Genomic DNA, 13,159 nt, shown 5'->3' with positions numbered 1-13,159 from the left:
GTAAACCTGAATGTCCAATGTCCTTGCCTGTTGACCCTGACCCCTGGCCACCTCCTAGGGGTACACAACTGATCTAAGCTGCTCCAGTTTTTGAAACTTGGAGTAAGCAGGGATAATTCTGTTATACAATGTTCTTAAGGGTTTTGTTTCGCAGAGATTTCTGTACCTCACTTCCCAGATGGGGTTATGTTACATAGATTTTCCAGTAAAAGTGTTAGGTTGGTGCAAAAGTGATTGCAGTTTTTGGCAATACAAGGCCTCTTTTCAAGGGGATTGCCATGCCCATAAACTCCAGCTGCTGACACCCCCAAAGTTGGCTTTGTCCTTTCCAGTCCTATTGTTCACCTCCATCTCTGGGTATGAAAACTATAGCAGAATCCTTCCAATATCTCCCCCTATTTACTGAAGCTAGCCACAATTATTTTCTGTTGGTTTCAACAAAATAATCTCAAAACCCAAACCAAAGTGTTCCTTTTGGGAAATAAAAATTGTCAATTGATGAGGACTTGCTGGTGATAGAGGAGGAGAGGTCGGAAGGAAAATAACATAGCTGGTTAATTTATAGGTTAACATAGCAAACTCTTGCCCCATAAGCAAGCACTTCAGCCTGAAGGAGCTTCTCGTTTCTTTATTAAAGGCATGGGGTTATTTTCCTACTGGATGTGTTGGATGTGGGATTGTGTGTGTAGTCCAAGCTATGCAAGGTTCCTCCTGCCTTCTCCAGGTCGTTATTTAGTTGCAAACATTGCTGGTCTGAGAAGACAGGAAGGAGGAAGCTATGGGAGGCTGTGGCCTGGAGCGGAGGCTGCCTTTGTCTGGCAGCCTGAGCTGACACTGGAGCCTAGGAGAGACCCAATGAGGGAAAAGATGTGTATAATAAAAGAAGAGAGAAGGGAGCATCTTAGGAAACTCCCCTTTTGGGGATAATACAGCTGAATCAAGATTCCTCCACAATTCCTAGCAAAAGGTTGTCCTTCATGCCTTTCGGGCACGCGCGGTGTCCCTGCAGGTGAGAGGGTAGCTTCTCTGTTCACCCAACCGCCCATTTCTACCCAGCGCCGGCCACAGAGCCACAATTAAGAGTTCAGCAAACGTTTCCTGGACTGTTAGGCGCAAGGGTGGAGAGAGGGAAAGGAGGAGGACGGCGCCGAAGAAAGAGCCAACAGCCTCAGAGGCAGCTGAAAAAAAAACCTGGGCTTGGGATCCAGGAGGAGAGTCCTCGCGTGATTCCTCGAAAACCTCGCGGATTTTTGGGCAGGAAGTCAAAGGGCTGGCGCTAGGGAATTCGTGGGTTTCGATATTGGAAAGGAGGGAGGGGGACTTGGTGGATTTAACGGCGCAGGATCGAGGTCAGCGGGAAGGCGGATCTGAGACGTAGCTTCCAGGCTCCGACCCGGAAGGTGAGCGAGAATCGGGGCCTGAGGTACTAAAGCCGTTGCTCGGGAAACGGGAAGGAGGCGGAGCCGAGCCTAGCTTTGACTGACAGGGACCACAGCAGGGGCGGGACTCTGCTTCTGACTGTTCCCAGAAGGTGGTGGCTTACTTTTGACCGCGAGGGCCCGGGGGCGGGGCTTGAAATGGACAGGCTTCACTGGGAGGAAATGGGGCTTGGCTCTGACCTGTAGGGCATCAGACCCAGCAGGACTAGGCCAGAGTCTGGCATAGCCCCACAGTGCCAGAGTTGAAGCTGGTCCTGATTACCTGTCCTTAGGAAGCAGGTGTCATTGGTTCCGGTGATCCTGGAAAGGAGCAGAATATCCCTACTTGACCACCTCCCTATGGCCAGGCTAAACTTAAAACATGGGCAGGGAGAGAGGGAAGGTTGTGGTCTTTCGGGTCTTCATAATAGGCAGGATGGGGGCTCTGGAGCAAATGAGGCCAGGCAAGGGGAAGAAGATGGGAGGGAAGGTCAAAGACACCAATTCAGGCTTCCAGAGAAAGTTCCTAAAGTCTGAGGTCTGGGAGGAAGACAGGAGGCCCACCCAAGAATGGGGCAGAGCACTTTCTAGTGAAAAACGTGCTGCGTCAGCCCAAATGCTGACTTCTGAGGAAATTTCCAAGTATAAGGAGGCAGTTTGGAAGGTATGATTGGCTAAGGTTTGTCCCTAGAGAGCCTGTGATGTGCCCTATAGCTAACTCTTTTGACGTGTTTGAGAAACTGGTGTGGAATTAGGAAGGAAAGATGACAGAGAAGCCCACTAGTGCCCTGGCCAATCTTTTCTCTGACATGGTTTAGTGATACCTGTGGAGCACAGATAATTCTGTTATAAAATGTTCTTAAGGGTTTTGTTTTGCAGAGATTTCTGTACCTCACTCCCCACATGGGGTTATGTTACATAGATTTTCCAGTAAAAGTATTAGGTTGGTGCAAAAGTGATTGCAGTTTTTGGCAATACAAGGCCTCTTTTCAAGGGGATTGCCAAAGGCCAAAAGTGTAACTGCAGAAAGAGCTTTAAGAGTTGACTAAGGATTCCAGTGGGCTTGGTGATTGACAGGACAGGATGAAATTAAAACTGGTTATCTAGGCCGGGCACGGTGGCTCACGCCTGTAATCCCAGCACTTTGGGAGGCCAAGGCAGGTGGATGGCTTGAGCCCAGGAATTGGAGACCAGCCTGGGCAACTTGGCAAAAACCATCTCTATAAAAAAATACAGAAGATTAGCTGGGTGTGGTGGCACGTGCCTGTAGTCTCAGCTACTTGGTAGGCTGAGGCAGGCGGATCAATTGAACTGGTGAGGTTGAGGCTGCAGTGAGCTGTGATCCATGATGGTGCCACTGCACTCCAGCCTGGGTGATAGAGTGAAACCCTGTCGCAAAAAAAAAAAAAAAAAAAAAAAACAGAAAGAAAGAAAAGAAAAGGAAAAAAAAAAAGGTGAAAGCATCTACATTCGCCCTCTGTCTTAGTACATACTTGGGGGTGCCAGAGGGAGGACTGATTTTCTAATCTCAGAGCTCCCTCTGCTGGGGCATGAGGCTCCCTACACAGGGGGAGGAATGAGACAAGACCTGGACTTGGGGAGAGTCCAGGGAGAGACGGAAGGCTGCAAGCAGGGGACTCTTTCTGGGCCCTCAGGACGTGGAATCAAGTGAAGACCAAGAAGTAGACAAGTTTGCAGTTTATTGAGTAATGGCTGGCTTCACAGATGTTATCACTGGGGGCGGTTGATAGGGGGAACAGGAAAATGCTCTCAGAGGTTCCCACTGAAGCCCTTTCATCTGCCCTGCCCCACCCACCACTGAAGCCAGAGGTCATGGGAGTTGGGATCTAACTACACTCTGTGAACTTACCACCACCCATTCCATCCCCAAGCCCATATTTTATTTGGACTAGCCACTGATGCCCGGGCCCTTCCTCTTCCAGGGGGTGGGAGGGTGGAGGTGGGGACAGGACCAACCCTCAAGAAAGAAAAGAGGTTAAGGTGGGGGTTTTGCTGAATGTCTAAGAAATGTCAGTGGAACAGGCTGGGCACAGTGGCTCATGCTTGTAATCCCAGTGCTTTGGGAGGCCAAGGCAGGTGGATCACCTGAGGTCAGGAGTTCGAGACTAGCCTGGCCAACATGGTGAAACCCCCATCTCTGCTAAAAATACAAAACTAGCAAGATGTGGTAGCACACACCTGTAATTTCCACTACTCGGGAGACTGAGGCAAGAGAATCACTTGAACCCAGGAGGCAGAGGTTGCAGTGAGCCAAGATCGCACCATCGCACTCCAGCCTGGGCAAAATAGTGAAACTCCATTAAAAAAAAAAAAAAAAGTCAATGGAACACAAAATTCCCTGTCTTAACATTGTACATTCGGGGCCTAGCTGCCCTTGAGGATGTCCTAGTTACACCCTCTCTGATACCTGTGGAGTTTAAGCACCATTCCTACCGCTGTGTCCCTTGGGAGGGGGTGCAGTGGAAGCTCTTAAAGGGGAATGCTTGCTCTGCCTCTGTGGCTTTTTGTTTGGGAAAGGGAGTTGGGATTGGAGGATTTAGATTTGAGGTCATGATGTCAGAGCACACCAGGAACTCCCAAGGCTGTGCCTGAAGATGCCCACGCTGTCAAGTAGGGTGGTGGGGGAGACAGCGAGGGCAGTACAGGACACAGGCACTCCTTTGTCTGGTAGAGAGGAGGAGGGGAAATGGAGCTATTCCAGGATACAAGGGATGGCACTGAGGGATGCATAAGTCCCCTGCCTCCCTTGTCTCAACATGTTCTCCTCTGCCAGCCCAGTCAGCTTGGGGAGCTAGGTATCAGAAACCTGAAGGATTCAGCCCGCTTTGTCCTACTAGTGTCTATAAGTCTCTGTCCTGAGATCCTGGGGCTCCTCCTATTTCTAGAAGGGATGAGGTGCCATCAAAAATAACTTGGCTGGTGTAACAGTTTAGAGAAGGAAGTCACACCTGTAGCCTGGCTGGCAGGCAGGTGGACATGAGGCTGAGAAGGGAAGCCAGATGTCAGAACATACTAGGCTAGCATGCCTGCTTCTAGCTTTCAGGACCCAATGTACACATACACATGTGTATCATGTATGTATATGCATGGACACTCAAGCACAGGAGGGGTTATGTGCTCTGATCTTTGAAACCAGAGAAGGGAGGAAAAGCCTTATGGAGGTCCCTCCCCCACCCTAATAGGTTGCTACCCTCAATTGCCATCTGCCCACCAAGGCCCCTGCCCAGTGCTAGGCAGATAGCCAAGTGGTAGGGGTGACATGACTCCACTAAAGCAGCAGCCCAAGGAAGTGAGGGAGGGGACAGAGGCTGACCCTCCTCAAAGCCCCTTGTTGTAGTAGACCACTTCAACGCTGGGGTTTTGCTCATGGATCTGAGCTCTCAGCTCTGGTTCCAGGTTGCTTATGTGTATGGAGCTGCAATAGAACAGCACAGGCCAGTTAACGTCCCCTGAATCCAACCCCACTCAGGCCCAGGGATTGCCATCCCACCTCCTCCCAGGCTGAAAAATCCTCTCCTTCTACTGCCAGAAGGACTGGCTCACTGTCATTCCCCCACTCCCAGAATCAGTGGAGTGCCTGCCAGGCCTCCTCCTGAACACCCTGGAAGACCCTAGGTCAGCTGGTCCAGAGATGCAGAGTCCAATCCAGAGTCCCCCACCCAGCCCAGGGACAGCACTTACCTCTTCTGGGGGAATAGGGCACAGCACAGGGGGGTTGCAAATACCAGGCTGGGGGAGACAAGTGTTGGAAAGGTTTGTAAAGCTTTGGCCTTAGGGTGTTCCCTCCCTGCACCCCACCCCATCCTTGGAGATAGGCCCTAGGGGTGGAGATTGATAAAAGCTGAAAGGACCTTTTAGGAATAGTAAACCCAACCTGGACATCAGGTTCTGAGGAAAGAGAGCCCCACAACCAGTAAGTGGCAGAATCAGGAATTAAATGGGCATGAATCTCCTGGATGGCACCAAAAGGTACATTTCCATGGTTTCCTCTTATAGATGAAGACTGGAACCCCCTCACTAGGATCTTGACCTTCAAGGACAGGGACCACCCCGTAACACACAAAGTAGACCCTATAGTTGTTCCAAACACACACCCACTGAATGTATGAATGGATGATGTCTATAAACATCTTAAAGACAATCCATACCCACCCACATCCACCATGGACAAGGCACTCCCACACACCCCAGCTAACTCCTTGCACACTTACCAGAAGCCCACCAGTCCCACCTGCAGGGGTGCCCCCAGCCAGGGGCGGCGCTGTGGAGAGACAGAAAGACAATGGAACGGCTTGTGTCCCCTGCCTCACTGTCACCCCATTTCACCCACCATAGCTCTATCCCATCAGCCTTGCCTTGGAGCCCTTAGACCTGTGGCCGTTTTCTTTCTCCCAAGGCAATGACAGGGCTGGGACCTCCAGATCACGCCCTTCCACTCCAGCCAGGCCTGTCTGCTGATCACCCTCCCCGGCATCCCATGACCTCTCACCTCTCAGAATTGGTTGCCATGGCACTCCCTGGCCCTTTTTTTTCTTCCCTCACTTCCTCCAGGAGCTGATTTCTTCAGGAAACCTCCTGTGAACCTCCACTTACCTCTTCCCATCCCAGTGGCATGAATCTGACCCTTTCCAAGCACATCTCTTCCTCGGCACTCTTCTCAATTTGCTCTGGCCACAGGGACCACCAACCTGTTCCTCAAATGTGCAAGCCCCTCCTACTGCAGTGCCCTTGCACTGACTGTTTTCTGTACCCCAAACACTCTTCTCTGCGTTATTTGGCTCTCTCCTCATCCTTTGCGGCATTAAAGACCCCTTCTCTGATCATCCTATCTAAACAGCTCTCCCCCATGAATCTCAATTACACTACCCCCATTGCTTTCCTACAAAGCACATATTACACTTTCTAAGAATGTATTTATTGGGTGCCTCCTTGTTTATTGGTTTCTGCATCAGACTATAAACTTCATGAGGACAGGGGCCATAACCATTGTGTTCAGTGCCATCTCCTCAGCCCTAAAACATGCCTGGTGCATGGCACTCAATACATTTGTGAATAAATGATTCTGTGAATGAGCCAGAGCTTGTTCCTGTGCTTTGCTTTCGTGTCCTGTTCATGTCTGTGTGTGCGTGTTCACCCGTGTGTACCTCTCAGTATGGAGGCACTAGGGGGTAAAAGAATGAGCATGAGATCAAGCATGACTATGACAGTCCCCTTCTGTGTGTCAGAAGCCACTGGAGTAACACTGATGAAGTTGGTTTCCTTCCTTTGTCCTCTCCTCCTGCCCCTGCAGAGTTCCTTCACCCCAGCCCAGTTCATTCTTGCTGAATGAACGAAGGTGGAGGAGGCGGTGCAGGGGTCAGGAGAAGGGCTGGCAAGTCTTAGAGAATCAGGCGAGGCTGGAGAGAGAGTTGGGGCCTGGTCACTTCTCCCAGCCATCGCCCATTCCAGGACAAGAGAGGTACAGTCGCCTACCTTCAGGAAGTCTTTCTTCTCCAGAGTGTCCATGATCAGTGGTGGGATGGCTGTGGGGAGAGCAGGGCCAAGAAGGAGAACATTAGTAGTGGAGTTAAAGTCAGGAACTGTGAAGGGTGACCCCCCTCAAAGCTCCTCCCTCTCTCCCCAGAGTCCTCCAAAGTCCCTGAGAACTGCACCTGCTTCTCTCAGAGTCTCCTATGCCCCACCCAGCCACTCCCGCCTTACCCATGGCAGGAATCGCCATGCAGATTCTTGAAATCACCACCTGGAAGATTCCCTGCTTGGCTGCAGTCACCGAGTAGCCAAGCCTCTGACCTGCCTCATCAGCCACCGGGATGCCCACCTGCAGCTCTCTGCAAGGGAGGGGGGTTGGGGTCAGATCACAGGCCCCGGATCCCACCTGCAATGCCCGAATGAGCAGCGGCTCCTCAGGGTCCCCTCACACACCCCAGGCTCAAAGGCTGGTTCTCCCACCTGAGGATCCCAGGGTCAGACTGAGCCAGGGCCCAGCAGCTCATGTCTGGGGAGGGAGAGGGATGTCCCCATTCTGAGGTGGTCTGCGTGGATGGACAGTGTGCTACATTCTGGGCATGCACATGCCAGGAGCCGGGGTCACTCACCTCTGCCTCATCAGGGGGATGTTGATGCAGTTGGCAGCTGCCACTGCTGCAAAGGGCACAAATCTGCCGACCAAGGGGGGCAGGTGCTGGGGAGGAAGGGTGTTGTTCAGTGGCCCTAAGGGCCATGGGGTGGTGAGGGACTCTGGGGAGATATAGGGGGCATATAGGTCAGAACTGGAGGTGTGATGAGGAAGAAGGAGGCAGATAGAGGATGAATGGGGTGGTCAGGGGAGTGAGGGGCCTTTACCTTGGTGAGGGATTTGAGTCCCAGGGCCGTGGCCACAGCTCCAGTGGTGGCACTCACATAGGCTGTCCCCAGCTGCCTGTGGGTGGAAAAGCCAGGTCACGGGGAGAGGTGACAAGTCCAGCAGGTGGCCCTTTCCTTTAGGGATATGCCAAGTCCTCAATACATGAGGCATAAAAGGGGAAGCTCCTTGCAGAAGAAGCCTTCCCTCCATCTCCGGCGTAAACTTGTCTAGAAGCCCCAGTAGCACCCTGTGAAGAGGGGTGGGTCCCCCACAGCATACATAAGAGGACCTCATGCCTTCAGTTAGGCAGGGTAATTCGGGGTGGGGCAGGCTGAGGAGAGGGCGCTGAGCACTGGCTGCATGGTCCACAGGGAACCGGAGAGAAAGGAGAGGGCACTGCAGGCTGGGAGGAGAGGGTCAGATGGGACAGTGCAGCTGCTGCTGGGGGCTGGCTCTCACCTCACAGTGATGGGAGTGTCACCACTGCGGTTGGAGTAGTTAACAATGGCATTGAAGGACTGATTCACCCACTGCCAGAACACCACGGTTGGGGTCTTCCTGAGGGAACAAAGACACTCACTTCTGCCCCGTCTACAGTGGCCCTCATCTTTAGACCCCTGTAATGAAACCAAAGGTTATTCCCCAAGCCTAAGAAGGGACCCAGTTAATGGCCCTAGAACCTGTTCTGGTAACCCCTATGTACCCCCACCCCCATTTATACAAACACACCTACTGTCTCTGGGGTGAGAGACCTCCTGAGGCTGAATTCTGAGGAATGGAAGCGATTCTGACACAATCTTTCACTCACCCAGTTGGCCCAGACAAGAAGCGCACCTAGTCAAGCTATGCTCTAGCTTAGGGCACTGAAGAAGGGGACGTGGGACAAGACCTGCCTGTAGAATGTGAGCATGCAGCCAGTGATGGTCATGTTCATGGGCACCTGGGCTGACATGCGGCCAATCAGGACCACCTTCTCCCCTGTGTCCGGATGGAAGGCGGAGTCATACACATACTTGGCCCTCCACAGCTGGTCCTCGGTGATCCCTGGGGTCACCACGCCGGCCCTGCAGAAGTTGGCAAGGAGCAGACAGGCTATGCCAGGGGGCAGATCTGCCCTCACAGGCCCCACCTGCCCAGCTCAGGGTAACTCTGGACAGAGAACCAGGAACTTCAGCCCCCAGTCTCAGCATAAGGAAGCTCCTTATCTTTGGGAGAGGGCCAAAGTTTCCCAGAAGTGGAGGCTCCTATTTCTATTTCCCTTATAGCCACACAAAGAGGGGTACCCTTCTGTTTCTGCCAAAATGCTGGGTCAGGGATGATGGTGGTTTCCAGTGGGTCAAAAATGGCTGCAAGCATTGCAAGAGTTTTTCCTCCCAAAGATAAGGGGATTTCCCTCCTATCTTCCTGGGACTCCACTTTGAGCACCTCTATCCTTGCAGAGGGTGACCCCGCAATGGGATAGATCCCTGTAGAGGTTTGTGATGCATAGAGCAGCCCCTCCCATAAATATCAATGCCATCTTCTCAACCCAAATGCCCTAAAATCCTTTGGGTTAAAGCTCTGTGATGCCAACAGACGGGGCTAGAGAGTGAGGGGATTGAGGGACAGGGTCACTGTCAAGCTTGAGGAGGCAGGTACAAAACATATTATATTAATCACAGAAAATGAGATCCTGGCACACAGGGTCAGATTGAGGGGTGGTCACCTGTAGTTCTGCACGATGTTCCGAGAAGCTTCCAGCTGTGCCCCGGACAGCAGCAGATTTCGAGGATCAGTAACAGTGAAAAAGTGCCGGGCTCTGCCCAGGAAAGTACTTTGGTCCCAGCGAGGTTCCTGGATGTTGATGTCTAAAGGCAATTCACCCATTTTCTGCAGGACAGAGATAAGGGTCAGAGCGGGAGTCCAAGGGTCCAAGGGCTCCAGCTAGGGGAAATCTTTGGTGCCCCTGCCCTGGCCCCTGAGCTTATCATCAGTCCCTTCAAGAGCTCAAGGTGACTAGATGTAGGGAAAAGAAAGAGAGATCAGACTGTTACTGTGTCTATGTAGAAAGGAAAGACATAAGAGACTCCATTTTGAAAAAGACCTGTACTTTAAACAATTGCTTTGCTGAGATGTTGTTAATTTGTAGCTTTGCCCCAGCCACTTTGCCCCAGCACTTTGACCCAATCTGGAGCTCACAAAAACATGTGTTGTATAAAATCAAGGTTTAAGGGATCTAGGGATGTGCAGGACGTGCCTTGTTAACAAAATGTTTACAAGCAGTATACTTGGTAAAAGTCATTGCCATTCTCTAGTCTCAATAAACCAGGGGCACAATTAACTGCGGAAAGCCACAGGGACTTCTGCCCTTGAAAGCGGGGTATCGTCCAAGGTTTCTTCCCATGCATAGTCTGAAATATGGCCTCGTGGGATGAGAAAGACCTGACCGTCCCCCAGCTTGACACCCATAAAGGGTCTGTGCTGAGGTGGATTAGTAAAAGAGGAAAGCCTCTTGCAGTTGAGATAGAGGAAGGCCACTGTCTCCTGCTTGCCCCTGGGAACTGAATGTCTCCATATAAAACGCGATTGCACATTTGTTCAATTCTGAGATAGGAGAAAAACCGCCCTATGGTGGGAGGTGAGATATGTTTGCAGTAATGCTGCCTTGTTATTCTTTACTCCGCTGAGATGTTTGGGTGGAGAGAAACATAAATCTGGCTTACATGCACATCTAGGCATAGTACCTTCCCTTGAACCTAATTATGACATAGATTCTTTTGCTCACATGTTTTTTGCTGACCTTCTCCTTATTATCAACCTGCTCTACTACTACATTCCTTTTTGCTGAAATAATGAAAATAATAATCAATAAAAACTGAGGGAACTCAGAGACCGGTGCCGGTGCAGATCCTTGGTATGCTGAACGCCGGTCCCCTGGGCCCACTGTTGTTTCTCTATACTTTGTCTCTGTGTCTTATTTCTTTTCTCAGTCTCTTGTCCCACCCTACTAGAAATACCCACAGGTGTGGAGGGGCAGGCCACCCCTTCAACTAGGTAGGTAAGCAAGGGTGTGGGGAGGAGCTGTTTCCTGGGCAATGTCCCAGCCCAGGGACCTGCAGCCACTGGAGGAGGGGGAAGGGAAGACCAGAAACAGGAAAACAGATCTCCTTGTGCTCTATCCTGGTACAGATTTTCATGAGTGAGGATTTACATATATGTGGTTGACACATAAGCAGCAACAAACATCCCAGCCACGTGTGCTACAGATGCACAAGAATATATAATATATATATTACACACCCATGCTCAGGTGAGCTTTAGGCCCCAGCTGCACTGAGACCTGGATACAAACCCCCAAGGCTGTTTTGGAAAATGGCACAAGACATCCCACACTCCAGTCCCTGATTGGAGGAGAGCAAGGCCTTACTGGCCACCCAGGGCTTATCTGTTCCAGATCTCAATCAGGGGACTCTGATGTCAGCCATGTGTGTGCATGTGGGCACGCACAAGTCCTCTCTACAGACCCATTTTTCTCCAACTCACACTGAATGACCCCAGGCTCTCCCTGGTCCCTGGCCAGGCAGGGCTGGCACAGACACTCATCCACCTCTCTCTGGGCCACTTGCCTCCGGATAAGAGCAGGATTCAGTGGCTGCTCCCTCCACCCAGCACAGAGAGGAAAGCCTGGTGCAGCCATCTGGCTGAGTTGGGCAGAATCCTACAGAATGACTAATCCTCTCCAGCCACACTTCCTCCCGCAGAGGCAGAGACGCCCTCCCCTCACACTCACATACCCACACACAAAGACACTATCATGCACACCCTGCCCAGACATACAGACAGAGTGGAGGTGTCCTGTATACACCGGCCTTCAAACACCTTTACAGGCGCACACTGTGCCCATCTGCAGACACTTGAATGTGTGACTACACACAGCCCCACCCTGACATTCCTCCCCCCAACCTCCCTTGTGCCCTGTGGACTTGGACCTCCACAGAGCCGAGGACATTGACTGCACCAGGACAGACAGTTTCAAGGCAGGCCTCCTTCTCTGACCCCCATTCCAGAACCCCGCCCGCCGGGGAGAGCGAGCACTTACGCTTTCCATCGCTCTCTGAAGCTCTCAGAACCGCCTTCCTCTCTGCCTCCGCTGTCGCCGCCGGGCCCTCCCAGCCATCACGCGGGACGTCACGCGTGACGCCGACCAGCAGGGAGGGGCAGGAGCTTCCCGGCCGCGCCCACCCGGTGGGCACGGGGATTGGCAGAACCTGAGGGCGGTGGGTGTCATTCGAGGCGATGCCCCCAGCCTGGGCCACCTGGACCAGGCCCTAAGCTGCTTCCCAGAGCCAATCCCACCTCGGGGATCAGTTCTGGCCCCCTCCCCAGCCAAAGGGAGGAGGGGCTGGAGCCGCGGGCGCTGCTCCCTTGGTTTACAGTCCCCTGGCGGGCCTCAGCAGACCCCCAGCCCTGCAGCAAGCGGTCTAGGTGCCCAGAGAGAAAGCCCCGGGCGCAGGTGGGCGGTGTGGAGGGGCGGTCCTCTGCTGGCGCGCCGGGAGGGACTCGGGTTACCGCCTGGCTTGTTTACTTGATGGCTGCCTTGGCAATGGCCTTTGGCTTGCTTGTCCCCCTGGGCTCCTACCCCAGTATCCACAAGCTCCTCTTGTAGCAGCGCGGCATTCGCATCACTTCACAGCCCCGTTCCTGTCGTGCCTGTGCCTCTTCTATGTCCCCAGCCCTCTCCCTGCTCCCCCTCTGTAACCCCTAGCTCCACTGTGTCCCTGGTCTCCTTACGCTCCCAACCCCTAGCCCTGCACCCCAGACCGTAGCCCCACCCCTGAGATGTGGAGGGGCAGACGACCCCAGGAACCTCGCGGTCTGCATCCGAGCAAGTGCATCAGAAGGATTCTTAGGATTCTTCCGGTCCTGGGACCAGCTGCCCCACCCTGCGACCATTCCAGAACTGGGTAGCCAGAGACGCCTTCTGACAGAGGAGGAGGATGCAAGTGAAGAAGGCACCCCCTCCGCCACGCACATACTCACAACTCACCCAGCCACCACACAGAGCACGCCTGCAGCAAACTCAGGCTCACGTCCCGCTCTGCCCCGTGACGTCCCTCCACGGAGGCCTCAAGGGTGCCCAGGGAGGGGTGGCAATTCCAGGAGCCCCGGTAGCTGGCTCGGCTCAGAGAAGAGGTGGTTCGAGCCGGAGGGGAACAAGCCAGACCCAAGCCCTAAATTTGCGGAATGAGCTAGGGCGTCAGAACCAGAACTGGGGTGGGTAAAGAACTCCGCTGCCCGGGACCAGGTAACGCTCGGCTGTCCCTGGCGCCTAAGGGAGGTGCCGGAATAGAATGACTGGCGGCCCTACCAGCCAATGGGAGCCCGGGGCGGTGCAGGC

The 13,159-nt window shown here is 53.0% G+C and overlaps 1 protein-coding gene across 19 annotated transcripts, besides 1 other annotated feature; it reads right to left on the bottom strand.

Annotated features, from left to right (window-relative positions):
• Nucleotides 1-3,101: 3,101 nt before the first annotated feature.
• Nucleotides 3,102-13,109, bottom strand: SFXN3 (sideroflexin 3). 19 transcript variants are annotated; one of them, NR_170876.1, is made up of 12 exons: nucleotides 12,594-13,109; nucleotides 11,861-12,029; nucleotides 9,488-9,651; nucleotides 8,676-8,846; nucleotides 8,242-8,399; nucleotides 7,782-7,857; nucleotides 7,535-7,620; nucleotides 7,140-7,267; nucleotides 6,912-6,961; nucleotides 5,651-5,700; nucleotides 5,121-5,168; nucleotides 3,102-4,854 (listed from the first exon to the last, which is right to left on the bottom strand). NR_170876.1 is itself a non-coding variant. In NM_001388031.1 (12 exons), the coding sequence occupies exons 2-12, from the start codon at nucleotides 11,867-11,869 to the stop codon at nucleotides 4,758-4,760; spliced, it is 978 nt and encodes a 325-aa protein (NP_001374960.1). In that variant the 5' UTR covers nucleotides 11,870-12,029; nucleotides 12,401-13,109; the 3' UTR covers nucleotides 3,102-4,757. The 19 variants fall into 19 exon arrangements, 11 of the variants coding, with proteins under 11 accessions (NP_001374960.1, NP_001374959.1, NP_001374956.1 ...); NR_170877.1 differs by having other exon boundaries at nucleotides 12,629-13,109; NR_170878.1 differs by having other exon boundaries at nucleotides 7,535-7,676; nucleotides 12,809-13,109.
• Nucleotides 12,587-12,796: an enhancer, noted in NCBI's record as "active region_3906". NCBI's record gives its function as "activates an Ori minimal core promoter by ATAC-STARR-seq in GM12878 lymphoblastoid cells {active_cell/tissue: GM12878}" and the evidence as "EXISTENCE:reporter gene assay evidence [ECO:0000049][PMID:35858748]".

This window comes from Homo sapiens, chromosome 10 (assembly GCF_000001405.40).
Source record: "Homo sapiens chromosome 10, GRCh38.p14 Primary Assembly".
Classification (NCBI taxonomy): domain Eukaryota; kingdom Metazoa; phylum Chordata; class Mammalia; order Primates; family Hominidae; genus Homo; species Homo sapiens.
This window is presented reverse-complemented; position numbering and strand designations above follow the sequence as displayed.